Source organism: Homo sapiens, chromosome 3, assembly GCF_000001405.40.
Source record: "Homo sapiens chromosome 3, GRCh38.p14 Primary Assembly".
NCBI classification, from domain to species: Eukaryota; Metazoa; Chordata; class Mammalia; order Primates; family Hominidae; genus Homo; species Homo sapiens.
This window is the reverse complement of record NC_000003.12, coordinates 4060106-4083843: the sequence shown is the minus strand read 5'-3', so window position 1 is coordinate 4083843 and position 23738 is coordinate 4060106. Positions and strand designations below refer to the sequence as shown.

Below are 23738 nucleotides of genomic sequence, written 5' to 3'. Positions count from 1 at the left end.
TTTTGACATGCCTGTGTGCCAACGATGATGTCATATTTGTATTTGTATTTGTATCTGATTAATATTTATGTTTTATCTCTCCCACAGAATATAAATTCTCTGAGGATAGGCATGATGTCACATATATCTTTGTACAGTGTCTAATAAGGCATTACATATTTTGTAGGCTTTCAAATATATGTTTTAAAATAAGCCAGAGGTATAAGTTCTTCTATAAGACCCTAATTTTGGATGGAATGTGCTTTCCTTGGAACAAGTTGCAAATGGACGATAGTGGTAGCAGAATATTGGGGGAATTAGATAAAGTAACAAGACACATAGACTTTTCTTTGCTTCTTCTGGGTGTTTCATAGTCACGCTGGGGTGCAGCCGATAGGCACCCTGGTGATGAGCTCTGGTTTGCTGACACATCCTCATCAGCTTAACTAGAGCTCCTCACAATGGGCATTGAAGGGTGGTGATCAGGATTCAGGGTTTGATTGCTGAACTTTTGCTGCCTTCAGGTTCCAGTGATTTTTAGTAACGTGTGTCTTGGAAAAAGGACAGGGTATTAACTCAAATGTCATGTTTAAAGGGTAGGCAGACTGTCCGTGAGGTTCCAATTGTGTAGCCGCCAACAAAGTTTGAATTACAATATTAACAAGTCAGTTTGCGATCTCTTAATCAAAAGTGAGGTGTTAGAACACAGCTGCATCCCAGCAGATGGCCCAGGATTTCATCCTTTTCAGTCTGGGCATGTTTATCCACGGGGTGCACTTTGATCTAGCCGGAGGGCCTGCCATTGTCTCTAATGTTCTAGACCCAGGAGACATTTAGATATTTTCTAAATAAATTTCTTAGCACTGTGCTTGGAGGAGGAACTTTTAAATATGAACCTCTGTCAGGCAGTGCACCACTCTGGTCGTTTATCTGCTGGGCACTTATTACACAGAAAAAGAGTTTAAACAGACATAGATTTCATCATCTAAAATAGATTGACTTAACTTAGCCTGTTTTGATTGCCTGAGAGACCCTCCTTTTCCATCTTTCATTTTTTCCTAGTGAAATCATACCCATTCTCTCTCTAATCTCCCCCAAACAGGATGTAATCTCTCTTTCTCTCTTTTTAAAATGTCTATTCATTAATAGTTCATAGAGGTAATATTGCACAATTAAAATATGGGTAATTGAGTTGTTTATTAAATAGATTAATAATTTTAAAATGTTTACAATAGGCATTTTGACTAATCTCTTTCACTCCACATCAGCAATCCTTGTCTCAGACCTTTGGTTGTTGCCAGAGTAAATCTGTTGGAACATTTTAAATATAATTTAATTCTATTGATTTTAAAATTTTAACTTTTAATTAAATTAATTAATTACTTAATTTTTGAAACAGGGTGGGTCTCACTCTGTTGCCCAGGATGAAGTGCAGTGGCATGAACACGGCTCATTGCAGCCTCGACCTCCCAGGCTCAAGCGATTCTCCCAATTCAGCCTCTCGAGTAGCTGGGACCACAGGGTGCATCACCATGCCCAGCTATTTTTTTTGTACTTTTTGTAGAGATGGGGTTTTACTGTGTGGCCTAGGCTGGTCTCAAACGCCTGAGCTCAAGCGATCTGCCCACCTTGGGCTCCCAAAATGCTGGGATTACAGGTGTGAGTCACCATGCCCAGGCTAACTTTTTTAAAATAATGATTTCAGACATAAAAAGTTTTAAAAGTAGTTCAAAGAATTCCCATATATCCTGTCATCAGAATCCCCAAATGTTAATATTTTCCCATATGTGCTTGATCAATATCTATCTATACACAATTCCAAACTACTTGTTTGAAAGTAAGTTGCAGGCATAATCCCTTCTGGAGAACTGTAGGCAAAGACTTATACCCTTACACTTAAAGTTATTGTGTTAAGGCTTTCAGTATGTGTTCAACAACAATGGAAATATCACTAACACTATTGGCAGTTAACATTCATTAAGTATGATGGACCAGGTATGAGCTTTACATACTTTATCAGTCAGAGTTCCTGATTGTAGATGTTAAACACATCTACAAAATACTTTTGTGGCTGCACCTAGTTGTGTTGGATTGAGTAACCGAGATTATAGGCTAGTCAAGTCCACACATACAATTGACCATTGCATATTATTCCAAGTTATCACTCATAACCCTATGACAGAGGTGTTATTGTCCCATTTTATAACTGAAGAAGCTGAGGTGAAGTAACCTGGCCATGGTCAAATTAATTAGGAAGTGGCAGAAGTACTCTTTGAGCCCATACAGCCCAGCTGTGGAGCCTTTTTTTCTAAACCACTCTACTGGACTGTCTCCTTAAGACCTAAATAACTGACAATCAGCTTATTGGCAACATCTAAAAGAAGTTAGGTGTATAATGTAAAGAGCTGATGAATGAATTCAACTCAATTAGATAATAAAGTTTACTATATGCTAGGAACGGTGCCAGCCAATGAGAATATGACAGGGATCTTGCTCTCAGGAAGCCCATCTGAGTAGAAGCAGGCAGTGAAGAAAGAGGATGGATATCTGTATCTACCCTAGATGAGGCAGAAGGAACACTGATTTGAGGAAAGTAGTGCTCTGAGGTTTAGAAAAATTGGGTTCTGGTCCTGGCTTTGCTACTAAGTAGTGTCCTGTCCTGACCTGCTCAGTGAACGTTACTTTAGGCAACAGCTCTTCTCTGAACTTTAGTTTCTTTATCTGTAAAATAGGAGGCAATACATAAGTTGAAAAGTGAGGTCATTATGTCAAGAGGCTTGAATTCACCTTTGTCTTGAAACCTGGGCAGTCACTGGGCTAAACGCTTAATGTGTATTGAGTCCTTTAAACAATTCTTACCAGATCATCATTATTCCCATTTTTCAGTTGAGCAAACTGAGGTAAGAAAATTTATTTAATGACTTGCTCATGGTCACCAGCTAGGAAGTGAGAAAGTCAAGATTTGAATTCAGATAATGTGGCTCCTGAGTCCAGATTCTTAATATGTGTGTTATACTTCTTTGAAAGACATCAGGAAAGTCTTCGTGAAATTTGAATATGTGACCTGCTCTTTTATAAAACCAGTGCTCTAATCCCTGAGCTAAGAAACCTTTAAAATATTTATACAAAATTATCTAGTACAAATATGTGTTTTATATTGTATTCTTTTATTGGTTCCTGCTATAAAGGTAACGTATATTACATGTATGTCTGTGTGATTAATGTTAAGTCCATATTTTATGATTTTTCTTCCTTTTTAGAACATTGTTTGGATGCTTAATTAGCAGCTAGTGCCCATCAGAAAATGAATAAAAACCTGGATTTTGTCCAGTGTTTTAGATTTGGCATCAGATTTTGAAGCAGGGTTCCCAGGTACATTGCATTGGATTCAATTAAAAAAAAGAAGAGTTGGTTCAAGTATTAGCATAGGTGCAGAAAGTCTGAGATTAGGAGGGCTGGAGATAAACTGGGACATGCACCTCAATACCAGCTTGGCCAGTGGCTCAAGAGGAAGTGGAATGCCGCTGATATGACCATTGTGGGTCATAGCCCATTAGACCCTCTGAGGCATACTTAAAAATTAATGGTATAATCTTTTGGTGTCCAGCTGTAGCCTTCATTCATAAAAAACTTAAGTTTGAGATCAAAGCAAATGGAATGTACGTGTGCATTTGTGCAAGGAATACTGGAGTGATTAGTTAACACTGAAACTGTCAAAACTGGAAGTAAAGAATTGCTGTTTGTAACGTCCAGTGAACTACGGGTAAAAGTGTTCCTCACCCCCTGGAAATACAGGACCCTCTGGGAGTGACTACTCTGTGAAGATCATTTGGATTCTGACTCATTTATTATACAGATAAGGACACCGAAGTCCAGAGAGCAGTGCTTTGCCTGAGGTTGCACGCAGGGAGAGGCAGAGCCAGGGCAAGAAGATTATTATGTTTCCTGAGTGCCTTTAGTTTTGAAGGAGACAATATATGTGATTTTGGGAAAGCCCCACAGTTTCTGCAGCTTCAGCTTCTCCATCTGTAGGTTTAAAAGATAGGACTAGATCAGAAATGGCATATAAATGGCACTGTTACTGCCACTGTCACCTCCAGGACCCATGCCAGATACGACAAGTTGCTTAAGATCAATATGTGTTAACAGCATGTTGAGTACTTAGGGCATACTAGATATTCCAATAAGTACTTTCCATATATTATTTCACTAAATTATCACAACCAACCTATCAGGTAGATTTCATCAGCCTCATTTCACAAACAAGAGAACTTAGATAGATTTAGTGCAAACTTAAGCAAGTTTCTATCAGCAAACAGTGAAGCAAGACTTTGATCCTAGGAAATCTAACCCCAGAGCCCATATTCCTAAGAGCTACACTGTACTGCTAGGACAGCATATGAGCTTCTGCTGCTCTCTCAGGTACATGTCAGGCATGTACCTTATTTCAGTAAACTCCAAATGGTATCAAAACCCTTCTCATGTCACTCCAGGCATCTACTACCAATCGATCAGATCAAAATGGGCATGTGAGGTAAACCTTTTTATTATCCCTGTATTAGATGATTTCCAAAAACCCTTCCAACTCTAAGATTCTGGTGTGTGGTTTCAAGGATTGAAGCGAGGTGTTAGCTAATAATATTTACAGAAGCTGGAATACAGGGTATTTTGGCTGGCTGAGCTGATGACATGGATGTTGTTACTTCTTGGGCTGATCTTGAATTCGCGGTTAGTGTGGGAAGGGCTAAAATGGGTGAAATTGCTCATCAGGGACTGTGAGGCGACTCACGCAGAACTGCTCTGAGGTACAGATGACAAACAATGTCACATAGGAGGAGGAAAAAACCCAGAGAAAACCGAGAGCTTCCCGAGAAAACATCTTTAGCAAAACATTGCCAAGTCTGTGATGGACACCTTCTGCAGCGACTTCTTCAAGAGATTTTAAGAGTATAAACTTTAAATCCACACTACCTGGCTCTGTTATTGATTAGATGATGACCTTGAGGTAGTTATTAAACCCCTCTCTGTCCCAGTTTTTTCACCTATAAAAATGAGATAACCACAGTACCTACTTCATAGGTTGTTGTATGGATTTTTAAAACTTTTTTTGATTTTTTTTTTTAGAGATGGGGGTCTCACTGTGTTGCCCAGGATGGACTCAAATTCTTGGACTTGAACTCTTGGCCTCAAGTGATTCTCCTGCTGTGGCCTCCCAAAGTGCTGGGATTATAGGTGGGAGCTACCACACTGGGCCTGTTACATGGATTAAATGAGTTAATGTATGCAAATCATTTAAAAATAGCACCTGGCATATAATTAGCACCATATAAATATTGATCCATTTATTGCATTATTCATTTTTTTAGAGGCTCCTACTCTAACATAATCAGAAAGAACTCTAAATTGTGGGCCGTTTCTGTAACTAATGAAACACATGATCAAAGTTAAGTCTAATTATCTTGTTTGTCAAGCTGATTTTTGTTATGTTGTTTTACATTTGGAACTGGGATGATACGTTCACAGGTAGTGGATAGTTTGAGTTTAGCAAGCTTGGCCTACTCATTACTCTGGTAACACACCAGCCAGTATTTTCATTGTCTGGAAAGCCAGCCCCATTTCCATCTGCATAGTTTGATTTTGAGGGATGCCCATAGATTCAGCTTGTATGCCTGCTCAGATTGCACTTTTGAACCCTGCTTTCAAAAAGATTTTGAGGTCATATTTCGGCTCAGTGGGGAACAGTACCATATGCAATCAGTAGTGTCTGCTATTAGCATAGGAGAGGGGAAGCTGCGCTCTTGCCAACAGGGCTGGCTACATAATTTGTGAGTCCCAGTGCAAAGTGAAAATATGGGCCCTCTTGTTTAAAAGCAAGAAAAAAATGCCATGAAAAGGACTAAAATATCAAGCTTTTTTCTTTCTTCCATGGTCTCTTTCTCTTGACTTAGCATGGTCTTTTTACTTACTATTTAGTATTGTTAATAAATAAAAATTTAAATTTAAATTATTAGCATGAATTTTACTATTCATCTTATATAGTTTAATGCCAGTTTTTTTTTATTATACTTTAAGTTCTGGGGTGCATGTGCACAACGTGCAGGTTTGTTACATATGTGTACATGTGCCATGTTGGTTTGCGGCACCCATGAACTCGACATTTACATTAGGTATTTCTCCTAATGCTATCCCTCCCCCAGCCCCCAACCCGATGACAGGCCCTGGTGTGTGATGTTCCCCTCCCTGTGTCCATGTGCTCTCATTGTTGAACTCCCACTTATGAGTGAGAACATGCAGTGTTTGTTTTTCTGTCCTTGTGATAGTTTGCTGAGAATGATGGTTTCCAGCTTCATCCATGTCCCTGCAAAGGACATGAACTTGTTCTTTTTCATGGCTGCATAGTATTCCATGGTGTGTATGTGCCACATTTTCTTTATCCAGTCTATTATTGATGGACATTTGGGTTGGTTCCAAGTCTTTTCTGTTGTGAATAGTGCCACAATAAACATACGTGTGCATGTGTCTTTATAGTAGCATGATTTATAATCCTTTGGGTATATACCCAGTAATGGGATTGCTGGGTCAAATGGTATTTCTAGTTCTAGATCCTTGAGGAATTGCCACACTGTCTTGCACAATGGTTAAACTAATTTACACTCCCACCAACAGTGTAAAAGCATTCCTGTTTCTCCACATCCTCTCCAGCGTCTGTTGTTTCCTGACTTTTTAACGATCACCATTCTAACTGGTGTGAGATGGTATCTCAGTGTGGTTTTGATTTGCACTTCTCTAATGACCAGTGATGATGAGCATTTTTTCATATGTCTGTTGGCTGCATAAATGTCTTCTTTTTTTTTCTTTTTTGAGATGGAGTCTCGCTCTGTTGCCCAGGCTGGAGTGCAGTGGCACGATCTCGGCTCACTGCAAGCTCTGCCTCTCGGGTTCACGCCATTCTCCTGCCTCAGCCTCCCGAGTAGCTGGGACTACAGGTGCCCGCCACCACACCTGTCTAATTTTTTGTATTCTAAGTTAAGCAGAGATGGGGTTTCACCATGTTAGCCAGGATGGTCTGGATCTCCTGACCTCCTGATCCGCCCGCCTCGGTCTCCCAAAGTGCTGGGATTACAGGCGTGAGCCACCACGCCCGGCCAGTGTCTTCTTTTGAGAAGTATCTGTTCATATCCTTCACCCGCTTTTTGATGGGGTTTTTTGTTTTTTTCTTGTAAATTTGTTTAAGTTCTTTGTAGATTCTGGATATTAGTGCTTTGTCAGATGGATAGATTGCAAAAATTTTCTCCCATTGTGTAGGTTGCCTGTTCACTCTGATGGTAGTTTCATTTGCTGTGCAGAAGCTCTTTAACTTAATTAGATCCAACTTGTCTATTTTGGCTTTTGTTGCCATTGCTTTTGGTATTGTATTCATGAAGTCTTTGCCCATGCCTATGTCCTGAATGGTATTGCCTAGGTTTTCTTCTAGGGTTTTCATGGTTTTAGGTCTTACATTTAAGTTTTTAATCCATGTTCAGTTAATTTTTGTATAAGGTGTTAAGGAAGGGATCCAGTTTCAGCTTTCTACATATGCCTAGCCAGTTTTCCCACCAGCACCATTTATTAAATAGGGAATCCTTTCCCCATTGCTTGTTTTTGTCAGGTTTGTCAAAGATAGATGGTTGTAGATGTGTGGTGTTATTTTTGAGGCCTCTGTTCTGTTCCATTGGTCTATATATCTGTTTTGGTACCAGTACCATGCTGTTTTGGTTACTGCAGCCTTGTAGTATAGTTTAAAGTCAGGTAGCATGATGCCTCCAGCTTTGTTCTTTTTGCTTAGGATTGTCTTGGCAATGTGGGCTGTTTTTTGGTTCCATGTGAAATTTAAAGTAGCTTTACTTCCAATTCTGTGAAGAAAGTCAGTGCTAGCATGATGGGGATAGCATTGAATCTATAAATTACTTTAGGCAGTATGGCCATTTTCATGATATTAATTCTTTCTATCCATGAGCATGGAATGTTTTTCCATTTGTTTGTGTCCTCTTTTATTTCATTGAGCAGTGGTTTGTAGTTCTCCTTGAAGGGGTCCTTCACATTCCTTGTAAGTTGGATTCCTAGGTATTTTATTCTGTTTGTAGCAATTGTGAATGGGAGTTCACTCATGATTTGTCTCTGTTTGTCTGTTATTGGTATGTAGGAATGCCTGTGATTTTTGCCTATTGATTTTGTATCCTGAGACTTTGCTGAAGTTACTCATCAGCTTACGGAGATTTTGGGCTGAGATGATGGGGTTTTCTAAATATATAAACATGTCATCTGCAAACAGAGACAATTTGACTTCCTCTTTTCCTAATTGAATACCCTTTTTTTCTTTCTCTTGCCTAATTGCCCTGGCCAGAACTTCTAATACTATGTTGAATAGGAGTGGTGAGAGAGGGCATCTTTGTCTTGTGCCAGTTTTCCAAGGGAATGCTTTCAGTTTTTGCCCATTTGGTGTGATATTGTCTGTGGGTTTATCATAAATAACTTATTATTTTGAGATACGTTCCATCAATACCTAGTTTATTGAGAGTTTTTAGCATGAAGGGCTGTTGAATTTTGTCAAGTCCTCTTTTGTATCTATTGAGATAATCATGTGGTTTTTGTCGTTGGTTCTGTTTATGTGATGGATTATGTTTATTGACTTATGTATGTTGAACCAGCCTTGCATCCCAGGGATGAAGCCGACTTGGTGGTGGATAAGCTTTTTGATGTGCTGCTGGATTCAGTTTGCCAGTATTTTATTGAGGATTTTCACATTGATGTTCATCAGGGATATTGGCCTAAAATTCCCTTTTTTTTGTTGTGTCTCTGCCAGGCTTTGGTATCAGGATGATGCTGGCCTCATAAAATGAGTTAGGGAGGATTCCCTCTTTTTCTATTCATTGGAATAGTTTCAGAAGGAATGGTATCTGCTCCTTTTTGTACGTCTGGTGGAATTTGGTTCTGAATCCATCTGGTCCTGGACTTTTTCTGGTTGGTAGGATATTAATTATTGCCTCAATTTCAGAGCATTTCAGGTCATTGGTCTATTCAGAGATTGAATTTCTTCCTGGTTTAGTCTTGGGTGGGTGTCTGTATCCAGGACTTTATCAATTTCTTCTAGATTTTCTAATTTATTTGCATAGAGGTGTTTATACTATTCTCTGATGGTAGTTTGTATTTCCATGGGATCGGTGGTAATATCCCCTTTATCATTTTTTATTGGGTCTATTTGATTCTTCTCTTTTCTTCTTTATTAGTCTTGCTAGTGGTTTATCTATTTTGTTGATCTTTCCAAAAAACCAGCTCCTGTATTCATTGATTTTTTGAAGGGTTTTTTTGTGTCTCTTTCTCCTTTAGTCCTGCTCTGAGCTTAGTTATTTCTTGCCTTCTGCTAGCTTTTGAATTTGTTTGCTCTTGCTTCTCTAGTTCTTCTAATTGTGATGTTATGGTGTTGATTTTAGATCTTTCCTGCTTTCTCTTGTGGGCATTTAGTGCTATAAATTTCCCTCTACACACTGCTTTAAATGTGTCACAGAGATTCTGGTACGTCATGTCTTTGTTCTCATTGGTTTCAAAGAATATCTTTATTTCTGCCTTCATTTTGTTATTTATCCAGTAGTCATTGAGGAGCAGGTTGATCAGTTTCCATGTAGTCATGCAGTTTTGAGTGAGTTTCTTAATCCAGAGTTCTAATTTGATTGCACTGTGGTCTGAGAGACTGTTTGTTGTGATTTCTGTTCTTTTACATTTGCTGAGGAGTGTTTTACTTCCAATTATGTGGTCAATTTTAGAATAAGTGTGATGTGGTGCTGAGAAGAATGTATATTCTGTTGATTTGGGGTGGAGAGTTTGGTAGATGTCTATTAGGTCCGCATGGTCCAGAGCTGATTTCAAGTCCTGGATATCCTTGTTAATTTTCTGTCTCCTTGATCTGTCTAATATTGACAGTGGATTGTTACAGTCTCCCATTATTATTGTGTAGGAGTCTAAGTCCCTCTTCAGGTCTTTGAGACCTTGCTTTATGAATCTGGGTGCTCCTGTATTGGGTGCATGTATATTTAGGATAGTTAGCTCTTCTTGTTGAATTGATCCCTTTACCATTATATAATGGCCTTCTTAGTCTCTCTTGATCTTTGTTGGTTTAAAGTGTGTTTTCTCAGAGACTAGGATTGCAACCCCTGCTTTTTGTTTTTGCTTTCCATTTGCTTGGTAGATCTTCCCCCATACGTTTATTTTGAGCCTATATGTGTCTTTGCATGTGAGATGGGTCTCCTGAATACTGCACACCAATGGGTCTTGACTCTTTATCCAATTTGCCAGTCTGTGTCTTTTAATTGCAGCATTTAGCCCATTTACATTTAAGGTTAGTATTGTTATGTGTGAATCTGATCCTGTCATTATGATGCTAGCTGGTTATTTTGCCTGTTGGTTGATGCAGTTTCTTCATAGAGTTGATGGTCTTTACAGTTTGGCATGTTTTTGCAGTGGCTGGTACCAGTTATTCCTTTCCATGTTTAGCGCTTCCTTTAGGAGCTCTTGTAAGGCAGGCCTGATGGTGACAAAATCTCTCAGCATTTGCTTCTCTGTAAAGGATCTTATTTCTCCTTTGCTTATGAATCTTAGTTTGGCTGGATATGAAATTCTGGGTTGAAAATTCTTTTCTTTAAGAATGTTGAATATTGGCTTCCACTCTCTTCTGGCTTATAGGGTTTCTGCAGAGAGATCCGCTGTTAGTCTGATGGGCTGCCCTTTGTGGGTAACCCAACGTTTCTCTCTGGCTGCCGTTAACATTTTTTCCTTCATTTAAACCTTGGTGAGTCGGATGGTTTTGTCTCTTTGGGTTGCTCTTCTCGAGGAATATCTTTGTGGTGTTCTCTATATTTCCTGAATTTGAATGTTGGCCTCCCTTGCTATGTTGGGGAAGTTCTCCTGAATAATATCTTGAAGACTGTTTTCTAACTTGGTTCCATTCTCCCCATCCCTTTCAGGTACACCAGTCAAACGTAGGTTTGGTCTTTTCACATAGTCCCATATTTCTTGGAGGCTTTGTTCATTTCTCTTCACTCTTTTTTTCTCTAATCTTGTCTTCTCACTTCATTTCATCAATTTGACCTTCAATCACTGATATCCTTTGTTCTGCTTGATCGAATCAGCTATTGAAGTTTCTGTATGCTTCATGAAGTTCTCGTGCTGTGTTTTTCAGCTCCAACAGGTCATTTATGTTCTACTCTACGCTGGTTATTCTAGTTAGCCATTCCTTTAACCTGTTTTCAAGGTTTTTAGCTTCCTTGAGATGGTTTAGAACATGCTCCTTTAGCTCTGATAAGTTTGTGATTATCCACCTTCTGAAGCCTACTTCTGTCAACTTGTCAAACTCATTCTCTATCCAGTTTTGTTCCCTTGCTGGTGAGGAGTTGTGACCCTCAGGAGGAGAAGGGGCGTTTTGGTTTTTGGAATTTTCAGGCTTTCTGCTCTGGTTTCTCCTCATCTTTTTGGTTTTATCTACTTTTGGTCTTTGATGTTGGTGACCTACAGATGGGGTTTTGGTGTGGATGTCCTTTTTGTTGATGTTGATGCTATTCCTTTCTATTTGTTAGTTTTCCTTCTAACAGTCAGGCCCCTTGTATTCGTTAGTTTTCCTTCTGACAGTCAGGCCACTTAGCTGCAGGTCTGTTGGAGTTTGCTGGAGGTCCACTCCAGACCCTGTTTTCCTGGGTATCACTAAAGGAGGCTGCAGAACAGCAAATATTGCTGCCTGATCCTTACTCTGGAAAATTTGTCTTAGAGGGGCACCTGCCAGATGCCAAGCAGTGCTCTCTTGTATGAGGTGTCTGTCGGCCCCTACTGGGAGGTATCTCTCAGTCAGGTACACAGGGGTCAGGGACCCACTTGACAAGGCAGTCTGTTCATTATAAGAGCTCCAATGCCATGCTGGGAGAACCACTGCTCTTCAGAGCTGTGAGGCAGGGATGTTTAAGTCTGCAGAAGCTGTGCCCACAGCTGCCCCTTCCCTCAGGTGCTCTGTCCCAGGGAGATGAGGGGTTTTTCTCTAAGTCCCTGACAGAGGCTGCTGCCTTTTGTTCACATATGCCCTTCCCACAGAGATGGAATCTAGAGAGGCAGTCAGCCTTGCTGAGCTGTGGTGGGCTCCACCCAGTTTGAGCTTCCTGGCAGCTTTGTTTACACTGTGAGCATAAAAACGCCTACTCAAGCCTCAGCAATGGCGGATGCCCCTCCCCCCACTAAGCTCCAGCATCCCAGGTCGTCTCAGACTCCTGCGCTAGCAGTGAGAATTTCAAGCCAGTGGATCTTAAGCTTGCTGGGCTCTGTGGGCATGGGACCTGCTGAGCCAGGCACCATAGGGAATCTCCTGGTCTGCTGGTTGCAAAGACCATGGGAAAGGTGCAGTATTTGGGCAGGAGTGTACTGTTCCTCCTGTTACAGTCTCTCATGGCTTCTCTTGGCTAGGAAGGGGAAATCCCTCAATCCCTGGTGTTTCAGGTGAGGCGATGCCCCACCCTGCTTTGGCTCGCCCTCTGTGGGCTGCACCCACTGTCCATCCAGTCTCAATGAGATGAACCAGGTTCCTCAGTTGGAAATGCAGAAATCACCTGTCTTCTGTGTCGATCTCGCTGGGAGCTGCAGACTGGAGCTGTTCCTATTCAGCCATCGTGGAAGCACCTCCTAATGCCAGTTTTAAATGCAAGTATGTAGTTTTAAGCTTGTATGTAGAATCACCAAAATTACTCAACTTGTTTTTCATAGCTTACATATATATATACAAATATATATGTATTATTCCTACCAGAACAGTGAAAATACTACACAAAGCTAAATCAACTTATTCTTCTTCTTCTTGATATGCACACAGTCTACCAATATCTCTGCCTTAAGCTTACTGTTGAGTAAGAAAGTACTGAAAGGAGGCCAGGCACGGTGGGTCACTTCTGTAATCCCAGCACTTTGGGAGGCCGAGGTGGGTGGATCATGAGGTCAAGAGATTGAGACCATCCTGACCAACATGGTGAAACCCCGTCTCTACTAAATATGCAAAAAATTAGGCGTGGTAGCAGGCACCTGTAGTCCCAGCTACTCAGGAGGCTGAGGCAGGAGAATGGCCTGAACCCAGGAGGTGGAGCTTGCAGTGAGCCAAGATGGCGCCACTGCACTCCAGCCTGGGCAGCAGAGTGAGACTCTGCCTAAAAAAAAAGAAAAAAGAAAAAGAAAGGACTGAAAGGAAAATAAATATGAGTTGCCCTATCTTTCCCTTTTCTTCTATGTCATCGTTTTCAGCATGAGTGGTTAGTTAATAAAGTAGCATAATTAAGAAAGGATATGATGAATTTCATTGGTTGTTCATGTTTCTTAGAATGGTGTGTCTCTTAGAAAGAATGACTTCATGCTGTGATTGAAGCAATTTCTGGTTCAAAGAGACGTTGTGGCTTCTCACGGTGCTGTCCTCTTACTCCGTTTGTTGATGAAAAGAGTCAAACACTGTATAATATTTTAAGAGATTGATTCTGAGCCAAATTTGAGTGACCATGCCTGTGAAACAGCCTTCAGAAGGTCCTGAGAACATGTACCCAAGGTGGTTGGGGTACAGCTTGGTTTTATGTATTTTAGGGAGGCATGAGACATCAATCAAATACATTTAAGAAATACATTGGTTGGGTTCAGAAAGGTGGGACAACTCAAAGTGGGAGCTCCCAGACTATCAGTAAATTTAAACATTTTCTGGGTCATAATTCGTTGAGTTTATCTGAAGACCTGGGATCAATGGAAAGGAATGTTCAGGTTAAGATAAAGGATTGTGGAGACTAAGTTTTATTGTGCAGAGGAATTTCTCAGATAGCAGACTTCAGAGAGAGCAGGTTGTATGTTTCTTATCAGAGCTAAAAGCGTATCTGGCTCTTAGTTGATTATCTCCTGGATCTGAAAAGGAAGTAAGGAAAACAAAGGGGAAAGGGGATTCTCTATAGGATGTGGATTTTTCCCACAAGAGACTTTTCAGGGTAATTTCAAAGTGTGGCAAGAAAATATATTTTGGGGTTATATATTTTTCCTTATCTCATAATGGTATTCCAGAGTCAGATTGAAAAGTAAGTCATGATATATAGAATAAAACCCATCTGATCAGAATTTATGGTTTATAGAGCATGACCCCCTAGACCCCTTAGGTAGGAATTTGGGCCAGATAAAAAATCAGAGCTTAGTTCTCAAGTTATATTCATAACACACTCACCTCACACTCCCTTTAAATCTCAGTAAACTCCCACACATGTGCTCATGGGGCATCATGAATGCTGTATGCAAATAGGTAGCAAGAAATGGAAGAGGGCACATAGATTGCATGTTACCTGTATCTCCTCTGCTCATGAACATTCTCCATTGTCCCAGCAGACTTCACTTAAAAAATATAAGTTCAGTGATAAAATTATTAAGAATTTCAGGACCATGACAGCTGAATATTTAACCAAGTGTGGCACTCTTCTGAGCACAGGGCCCTAAGTGATTGCACAAGTCACACATGACCTCGAAGTGGGACCTACTTGCATTTGCTGTTGTATTTCATCTCTCCCTTGCAGGGCCCTAAGACCCTACACGGATCACTGCCCCCATGGATTTGTGTAGAGCTCACTTTTGTTTGCCTGTTACATGCCATAAACAGCCTTCTGTGACTAGTTATCTCATCCTATGTGTTCTTTCTCCCTACAACATTCTAAGCTCTTGAGGACAGTGTCATAACAATGGCTCCATTTATCATGCACGGTTGGCCCTGCTGAGGCCTTGCTGTTGGTCTTGCTGATTCTATCAACTTCCTGGGTATTTAAATATAATATTTGTAGCTATTATTGTTATTATTATTGTTATTTTCATAAAAGGGTTCAGGCCCTGTAGTCAGATTGTCAGTGCTCAAATTGTTATCTTAGTTGTGACCTGGGGCAAGACACTTAATCATTTTAAGTGTCCATTTTTCGTTGTAGTTTGTTATAAGAATTAAGTTCTGTAAGTTCTCTAAAATTTAGCATGCCTGTCACATGACAAATAAATAAATATTACCTATTCATGTTATTATTATTTCTTCTTCTTCTTCTTCTTATTTGTTTTAGTCCCAAGAGTACTATGATCCCTATTTTCAAGATGTGGCATCTGAGATGTTGAGAAGACACACAGCCAGCAGGTGGAAGGCCTTCTCATCTCTAGAACCATGCTGCTCAATACGTAGGCATCAGCAATATGCAGCTATTGAACGTTTGACATGTGGCAAGTTTGAATTGAGATGTGCTGTAAGTACAAAATACACACTGAATTTTGAAGACTTAGTATGAAATAAATAATGTAAAAAACCCCACAAACATTTTTATATTGATTACATGTTGAAATAATATTTTGAACATATTGTGTTAAAGTATATTATTAAAATTACTATCATTGTTTTTTACTTTTTAAAATGTGGCTCAAATTTAAAATGTAAATTTTTGAAACTTTGATAATGTGGCTCACATTATATTTCTATTAGACAGATTGCTCTTTCTGGAGGTTGTGATTGTGGTGGCTCAGGATTGGGGGTGAAGCCATCTTTAAGAACACATTCCACTGAGCAAGCTAATAAAGCTCTTTGAATTCCTTGCTCATCATAATCTTTAAGTTTTAATTTTAATGACCACAGGAGGGAACTTTGGATTTCACTTATCAATGTAAGAAAATGTTTTAAGCTGGTAATTGGTTTGCATCTCAGATGAACCTAATTCTGCCTGGCAGGAAGCCCAGAGGCTTTCTCTTCCTCCATGTGGTGCTAATGGCCTAGGGAAGAACACAAGTTTTAGAATGGAAGATTTTAACCTCAGCTTCCTCTTCCAGCTGTGTGACTTCAGGCAAGATATTTTTGCTTTTTGGACTCTTAGTTTCTTTATCTGAAAAAAGGGACAATAATATCTACAGAGCTGAATATCTTTGCCCTCTGGTTACAGTCTTTATCCTCTCTACCTTGTTCTGTGCTCTGGGGGGATGACCTATGAATGACACCAAAGGGCTCTCTTGACAATTGGTTTCAGGTTGAGTTTGGACCCAAAACTCCCCACTCTCTTGAGTAGGGCTGGGCACCTGCAGGACATCAGAATTCTGGGAGAAAAGTATATGAATGGATTTCTTTGATTGAGCACGGATATTTGTGTACTGTGTTAATGTCCATAGAGAGCACCCAGAGTGGATGAGGCTCTCCATAACCAGGTGGATGAGCTGCCCATTCTGGGGATGCCCCAGAGCTTGCTCAATTGCCTCCTGTACAGAATGCCTTATCTGTCCCAATATTGCTTATGACTTGGGGTCAGTTTTTCTTGCAAAAGGTATGACATAGTCAAGTTAGCCTGATGGAATTCATTGGCATTATCATGTGCAACATCATCTAGAAGCAGCTACTTAACAGAATAGTGGGATGGCCTGCCAAAGGCTCAGTTATGAAGATGGTGGGAAGGCAACGTTCTACAAATTTGGAGTGCTCTCCTTCATGATATGGTATATATGCCTCAAAACCAATGGCTAGAATATAGTGTCATCCCTTATAGCCAGAATGCCCAGGTATGGGAACCAAGGGTGGAGATGAGAGTGGCCTGTCTTACTGATACACCAAATAACCCATTGGAAGTACTTCTGCTTAATGTTCTGGAGATGCTAATGCCCAAAGAAAGACTACTTCTAAAAGAGTCATGGTCCTAGTGAATTGGAAGCTGAAGCTGCCTCTGGCCATTCTGAGCTCCTTATGTAGCTGGACCATTGTATAGAAAAGGGGTCACTGCATTCAGTGAGGTGACTGGTCCTGATTACCAGGGGATAATGAGGTTATCCCCTAACGAATTCAGGCCCTTCATAAATCAAGACTGTGGTTAATTTTTCAGTAAGGAACACCATCCAGTTGAGAAATGGGCAGAGGATAGGGCAAACAAGGAATAGTGGTGGAAGAAGGCTGGCTGCTATGCTCATCACCTTAGGTCTTATGCTCGTATGCGAAGCCACAGGAACTGTTATGGAAATGCCAGGTGTTCGGTCTAGGTCCTGTCATTGACTGCTCAGAAAGCCAATCACTGAAACAATGAGTTTTGCCAGGGGATAAGGCTTTGTTATATTGCAGGTGACATCGGCCGGGAAGATGGCAGCCAAGCCTCAACTCTGTTCTTTCTAACCAGCTAAAATGGGGTTGGGGGTGTATATAGCAGGAAGGAATTTAGAAAACAGAAATTAAGAAAGAGTAAGGAAGCAGTCAGGAGGAATAATGGGTCTGGCATCTCACCGATCTGGTGAGTTTCAGTTTCCTTGATACTATCTGGGAAGCCTGAGGGTCGATTTCCTGAGAAAGGAAAGTTTGTCGGATAAGACAAATGTAAGTTTCAAGCTTTAATACCAGGAGGGCCAATTTCTATGTTTATTCAAGAACCATAAACATCATTCTATGAGACAATTTGGTTGGTTTCAGAAATATAACAGTTAAATTTTATGTTAACTAGTTATCTCCTCACTTTTTACTCTCATATTTTCATGAAAAAAGATCGTTTTATGAAAACCATCTTTTGGTGGTTGCTCATGTTTTGGGTTTCTGTTGGGAAGTTGACTGAACTGATATCATTTCATCCTGTTTTGGCATTTTTGCAATTTTTGAATTAAAAATAACAGTAAATGATGGGGGAGGGTTCCTGGGGGAGTGTTGCTGGGGGAGGGATGGACTGTGCTGAATGTCTTCTGTTTCCCTTCCAGATCCACTTTTCACCCTTCCCTACCCTGCTTTATGCCCCAGGAGGCTCATTCTGTTGGGTTTCGTCAGTGGGATCCCTTGTGCTCTGGTTCCAATTGTGTTTAGACAATGGAGCAGGAAGGGAGGCAGAAGCAGTAGATCAGACAGCGGGTGAGCAGTGAGTTAAGAGTATCTGTTCCCCTCATTTTTTCCCCTGTCATATCACAAGGGTTGGTTCCTCACTCCATGGAAAGCCATAGTTGGTGTTGCCATTTGCTACCCTTTCTGAGTTCTCAGAGCTGTTGCTAGCCTCAGGTTACTATAGCAATCCTTGTTGGATGACTTTAAACTCTGCTGGGACCAGGGCTGATGTTCCTGCCTTGCTGGGTTGTTGTAAGGATTGGAGATAATGAATGCAAATCACTCAGTACAATGGCTAGCACTCCATAGGCACTCAAAATGATAATTTTTTTTTTCTGCCAAATCCTTTTAAATTTCAAGTTCAAATGATTGCTTAAGGAATTAGCACTGCTTTAATAAATAAATGAGATAATGTATGTGAATGCTTTGTTCAGCGTAAATCACTGTAGAAATGCAAGATAGAGTTATAGTAGATTCTCTGAACCTTAAAAGTATTATTTTTAAAAATACGGTTCTGTTTGTCTTGCCTTAGTCAGATGCAATTAGGTTTTTCTTAGAAGTGGAGTAGGATGGAAACTTGAACTGCAGATTTACATGCAAATCTCATTGAATTAAAAACTTTGTACATCTTCTTCAGGCTCTAGGCCTTTGGTTTTAGATTTCCCATTCTCATTTCCTCTTCTTTCTAGCCCAGTGAAGCATAGGTATCAAGATGAGCAGATGGAGAGGTAATTGCTTCTCTGTCTCATTGCAGAAAAAAAAAGCAAAAAAGCAGTGAGAAAAAGCATCTTGAAATGCGGAAGAAACTATTAAGTCTGCACAGTGGCTTTGCACAGTACCTTCTGAGATGGGAAGGGAAATGGTGAGGCAAGGTAAACAGGAGTTGATTTTCCTTCTGCTGTAGAACTTTACATACCATAAATCAGAGTTACTAGGAGGACTTGCCAGAGAGGGTGGAGAACTGCACCATGGTGCAAACCTTGCTTTTTTATTTACATGTTGCAAGTGACCATTAGAGTGTTTCTTCCTCTGTGCTTCCATTTGTTACATCAGTTTAATGAAACTCACCACTTTTTGCTGTGTCCCATGCTGTTTTATTTTCCTTCCAAATGACACAGCTTGAAGAAATTATCTGAGCAAAGAAATTTAGCACTTGTTCATTAAAATATGGCTGAAGCGTACTCCTTCTCAGGACTGCAGAGACAATGATTAGAGCACAGTGGTTAAGAGCATGCGTTCTGTAGACCTGGGTTCAATTCCTGAGTTCCCCACTGTAACCTCTGCCTCCCGGGTTCATGCCATTCTCCTGTTATCAGGCTGTTACTGAAAAGGGGTCCTGACCCATACCTCAAGAGAGGGTTCTTGGACCTTGTGCAAGAAAGTATTTGGGGTGAGTCCATACAGAAGAGTGAAAGCAAGTTTATTAGACAAGTAAAGAAACAAAAGAATGCCTACTCCATAGGCAGAGTATGGGTGGCTCAACTGAGTATACTTATAGTTATTTCTTGATTATATGCTAAACAAGGTGTGGCTTATTCATGAGTTTTCCAGGAAAGGGGCAAGCAAACCCAGAACTGAGGGTTTCTTCCCCTTTTAGACCATATATGGTAACTTCCGGATGTTTCCATGGCATTTGTAAACTGTCTTGGCACTGGGGAGGGTGTTTTTTAGCATGCTAACGCATTATAGTTAGCATATAATGATCAGTGAGGATGATCAGTGGTCACTTCATTGCCATCTTGGTTTTGGTGAGTTTTGGTCAGCTTTTTTACTGCATCTTCTTTTATCAGCAAGGTCTTTGTGACCTATATCTTGTGCCGGTCTCCTATCTCATCCTATGACTGAGAATGCCTAACCTCTGGGGAATGCGGCTCAGTAGGTCTCAGCCTTATTTTACCCAGCTCCTATTCAAGATGAAGTCACTCTGGTTCAAATGCCTCTGACAGGGCCATTATCTCACCCTCAGTTTCCTTCTCTGTCAAGCAGTGCTAATAATTGTATCTTGTTGGGACAATCAAGCTCAGCAGTGACTGGCCAAGCCCTTTATAGAATGTCAAGTGATGTACTGATTTAAGGTGTTATTATTTCTAAGCTACCAATCTATGATTAATAAATCTGACTTTCATCAAACTGTATTTGTTTTGAAATAAAGACCAAGAAACATATAATAATTTAATAAGGTATATGATATGATGACATTGTCCACAAAAGTAAGTTTTCTGATTGAGTAATATAATACATGTAAAAATATCTAGAATAGTGCCTGGTGTCTTCCAAAAGACCACCAGGATGGCTAAATAGTAGAAAGGAGACTTTTATTGGTGATATCAGTTTGCAAACCAGGAAGAGAAGGTCTCTAGCATGGACTGAAGGTGCTCTCTCTTTGAAGAGGGAAAGGACAGGTTGGGTTTTATGCTTCACAGGGTCTTTATCATGCATATTCAGCAGGTTTGGGGAAAAGCTACACATATTTATGACGGGAGCTGTGAGCATGCCTGACGGGTAAATATATATATAACATACATCCCATGTTCACTTTGGGGTGGGGTTTTAGCATTAAAATGAGGTAGAATTTGGCTCTGTACATCAAAAAGTGAACTACAGGACACAAAAACATTTTGTGTGCAGTCTCTGTAAGCTGCTGAAACTGGTCTAAGTTCTGCAGTAGCTTATCAGAAAATGTTTGTAAGGCTGGCTCTTGGTCCTGTGTTCAGTTATAGTGGTCTGGGTTGTAAATCTGCCTGATAGCTCCTGTTGTTAGGCAGTTGATGTGTGGGCATTTAGAAATTTACCATGCCAGCCAGGCCCTGAACGCTCTACTGGTAGGTAACCTGGTTTCTTTAACCTTAGTGTCTGTCTTAATTGATAAAAGTGTAGTCTCTCAGATCGCATTGGCATATGTAAAGATGTCAATAAATGCTTGTTTCCTTTTTAAATAAAGCATTGAAAATGCAGATTTTTCTTTTCCTGGGAGGACTATTCATTATCAGGACATCTTTCCTTCCAGAAAGAATTTCAATTATAAGGCAACCAAGGAAAGCAAAGATCACCTGGTGGCCATCAAGCAGGCCATCCAGAGACAAAACTCCTTATTTGAGGAATTTAGAATATTAGACTTCCCTGTTATCTAAAGCAGGCATCTGGTTGCAGGTTTCTTTCCCAAAAATGTATAAGTAACTAGAATTGCTGTACATCTCCGGAATGCATGCATATTGAAACTCATTGTGCAACCCTTGTTGACATCAAGGTACCAAAATGCCTACAAATGCAATCATTTTTCATGACCTACATGGCTAATATGGTTCAAATTACCCTAAAGTACCCACTTTAAGATTCATAAATATTCCCAAGGAAAAATCCACCACATTGCGCTCATTCCTCTCTTGCTGAGGCACCCCACTCATTCTTCTGCAGTGTTCTTTCTATCTAATAAAATTTTCTTCTTCAAACCTATACGATTGTTGGTAAATTCTTCTTACTATCCTGTCCATGAACCAACCACTTCCTGATGCTGGGACTCTGACACCTCGTCTGGCAGCAACAGTTGATAATAACAATAAGCTGCACTTTGTAAGGTAACTTTTACTTGTGTTACACCTGGTGTGACCCTCACAGTAGCAGTGTGAAGAAGGTTCTATTGCTATTATTATCATTCTGATGTTGCACATAAGGGAGCTGAGGTTCTGAGCAGTTAAGTTTCTGACTCTCCCAAAGTCATATGGCTAGACTCTTTGATGCCCAGTTTGACCATGCTCCCAATACATTTGAAAGCAAGCACAGTGAGAATAGCTGTCAGCTTCCATTTCCCAGGCAAGGGTTGGCTCAGGAGTTTGTTTTTTCTGGGAGTCTGGTGATTTGTATCAGTGATTAGGAGCTTAGGGCATGACTGAATCTGTGGTAAGGGTGCTATGAGGAAGGGGGTGCTGTTCAGGCTGAGGTGTAGGAGAGAGAGGGTGAGACGGTATTAGAGGAGAGGTAAATACAGAAACGAGTCTGAGTGTAAATGAACTGTCCAGTGGGACAGAAGAGGTGGGAGGACCAGGTATCAAATGGCTATAGCATCATCATTACCCGTTGTTAATTTAAGTGTAGCCTAAAGCGGCCTCCTTACATACTTTAAGTTTGGCCTAAAGGTTTCTCCTTACACACTGCACTGTAACCTAACTAGATGTGTAAACAGACTGTAACCTACTCTTGTACCAATCATAGAGTTTTAGCCTGTCACAGGCTGTCAACTGTTCAACCCATGTTCTAATAAGACAAATGCCAAGCTGTACCCAGTCCAACTGTTTCTGTACCTCCCTTATGTGTCCCCCACCACCCCATTATTACCAAAATGCCAGCAGTTTGGTCTAGTTCTTGCTGCTCCCTGCATAGAAAGCCAATCACTGAGACAATGAGTACTGCCAGAGAAGAAGGCTTTAATGAGGTGCTGCAGCTGAGGAGATGGGAGATCAGTCTCAAATTCATCACTCTGACCAACCAAAATCAGGGGTTTATATAGCAGGGAAGAAATGTAACTACATGCAGAAAAACATAAGTTAATGAGGGGTAAGGAAGAGGAATTGGTCAGCAGGAAGCAGGGAGTCAGTTAGGCAATCATGATGGGTGAGAGATCTGGTGTTTCATTGTCCAGATGTGGTGTCTGGTAAGTTTTAGTTCCTCAATACTATCTGGGAGTCCTGATGGTTGGTTTTCTGAGAAAGAAACTCAAATAAGACAATTCTAACTTTCTCCACTTTTAAGATTGGGAGGATCCATTTCTATGTTTATTCAAAAGAAACCATAAACATCAGTGCTATGGGACAATTGGTCTGGTGTCATCATTGCTCTGAAGCTATTCTGGATCAGGGGGCTGCCCAATTCTCAAATTATTCTTTGCTCAATTAAACTCTGGTAAAGTTAATTTGTCTGAAGTTTTTCTTTTAACACTGATTAGGAATAGACTCAGGGTCCTCTACTGGCTTTTCCACAAAGTATTGGAAACAGACATTCCTCAAGACACTTTGGGGTCTTATGGAACTTGAAAGCTGGAAGGACCTCAGAGGTCATCTTATCATCCTTCCATTTACAGAGTAGGAACTCCTAAGTTCATGCAGCTAGCTAGTTTGGTACCTAAGAGCTTTATTTACTTAACAAATGCTATTTACTATGTGCCAAACACTTTCCCAAGGGTTTACAATGATTCATTTATTCCTCATCATAACCCTAGGAGGAAGGTACTACATATGCGTAGTCCCTCATTTGCAGTTCTGAATTTCAAAAGATTCTGAAAAAACAGAATTTTCTTGAAAGTTGGTGCAAACTCATTTGATGGCAAAACTTGATCTGGATTGACATAAGTCTACTTATTGGTCTTTATTCCACATAGTGTTAATAATCATACATCTTGCTTCAAAATGTGTTTGAATGTTAATGTGTTTGAATATGGGGTCCTACCCAAGACTCTGCTGGGGGTGTTACAGAATATTTAGTGTAATCTCATGCCTTTCAAAAGTCCAAAAAATTCTGAATTTCAAAATACATTTGGTCATGAAGATTTTGTAACCTATATTATCATTCTCGTTTTACAGTGAGAAAACCGAGGCAGAGAGATTATATAAATTGTACAAGGGCACACAGTGGCATTCCTGGGATTCCAAACCAGGAATCCTAGTTCAGCAGTCTGTGTTTTTAACCAGTCTGTGCCCTGGCAGGCCAGACATGGATTAAGAGGCTGCTATTCATTGCTCTGCCCAAATACTTTGTATATGATGTCATGTAAGTTCAGAAATCGCTAATCTCTATCACTTTAGTTCTGACATATTGCTTGCCTCCACCAATTTATTTACCACTGGGCAGCTAGAGCGATTTTTCAAAACGTAAATCTGATTCATATCATAAC

The 23738-nt window shown here is 40.3% G+C and overlaps 1 protein-coding gene across 4 annotated transcripts in view, besides 1 other annotated feature; it reads left to right on the top strand.

Annotated features, from left to right (window-relative positions):
• Positions 1-23738, top strand: part of SUMF1 (sulfatase modifying factor 1) — a 432784-nt gene that overhangs the window by 383426 nt on the left and 25620 nt on the right. For 3 of the 4 annotated variants that reach the window (XM_017006253.2, XM_017006252.3, XM_011533624.4), the window contains 2 exons: positions 15099-15275; positions 15751-19984. In XM_017006253.2, coding sequence (XP_016861742.1) covers positions 15099-15275; positions 15751-15906 — 333 coding nt within the window. In that variant the 3' untranslated portion in view covers positions 15907-19984. Of the gene's footprint in view, positions 1-15098; positions 15276-15750; positions 19985-23738 lie in introns of those variants that run through there. The other variant, XM_017006254.3, reaches the window with a different exon arrangement.
• Positions 18024-18524: an enhancer, noted in NCBI's record as "OCT4-NANOG-H3K4me1 hESC enhancer chr3:4107004-4107504 (GRCh37/hg19 assembly coordinates)". NCBI's record gives its function as "activates a minimal SCP1, AML or CMV promoter by ChIP-STARR-seq in primed H9 embryonic stem cells {active_cell/tissue: H9 hESC(primed)}" and the evidence as "EXISTENCE:reporter gene assay evidence [ECO:0000049][PMID:30033119]".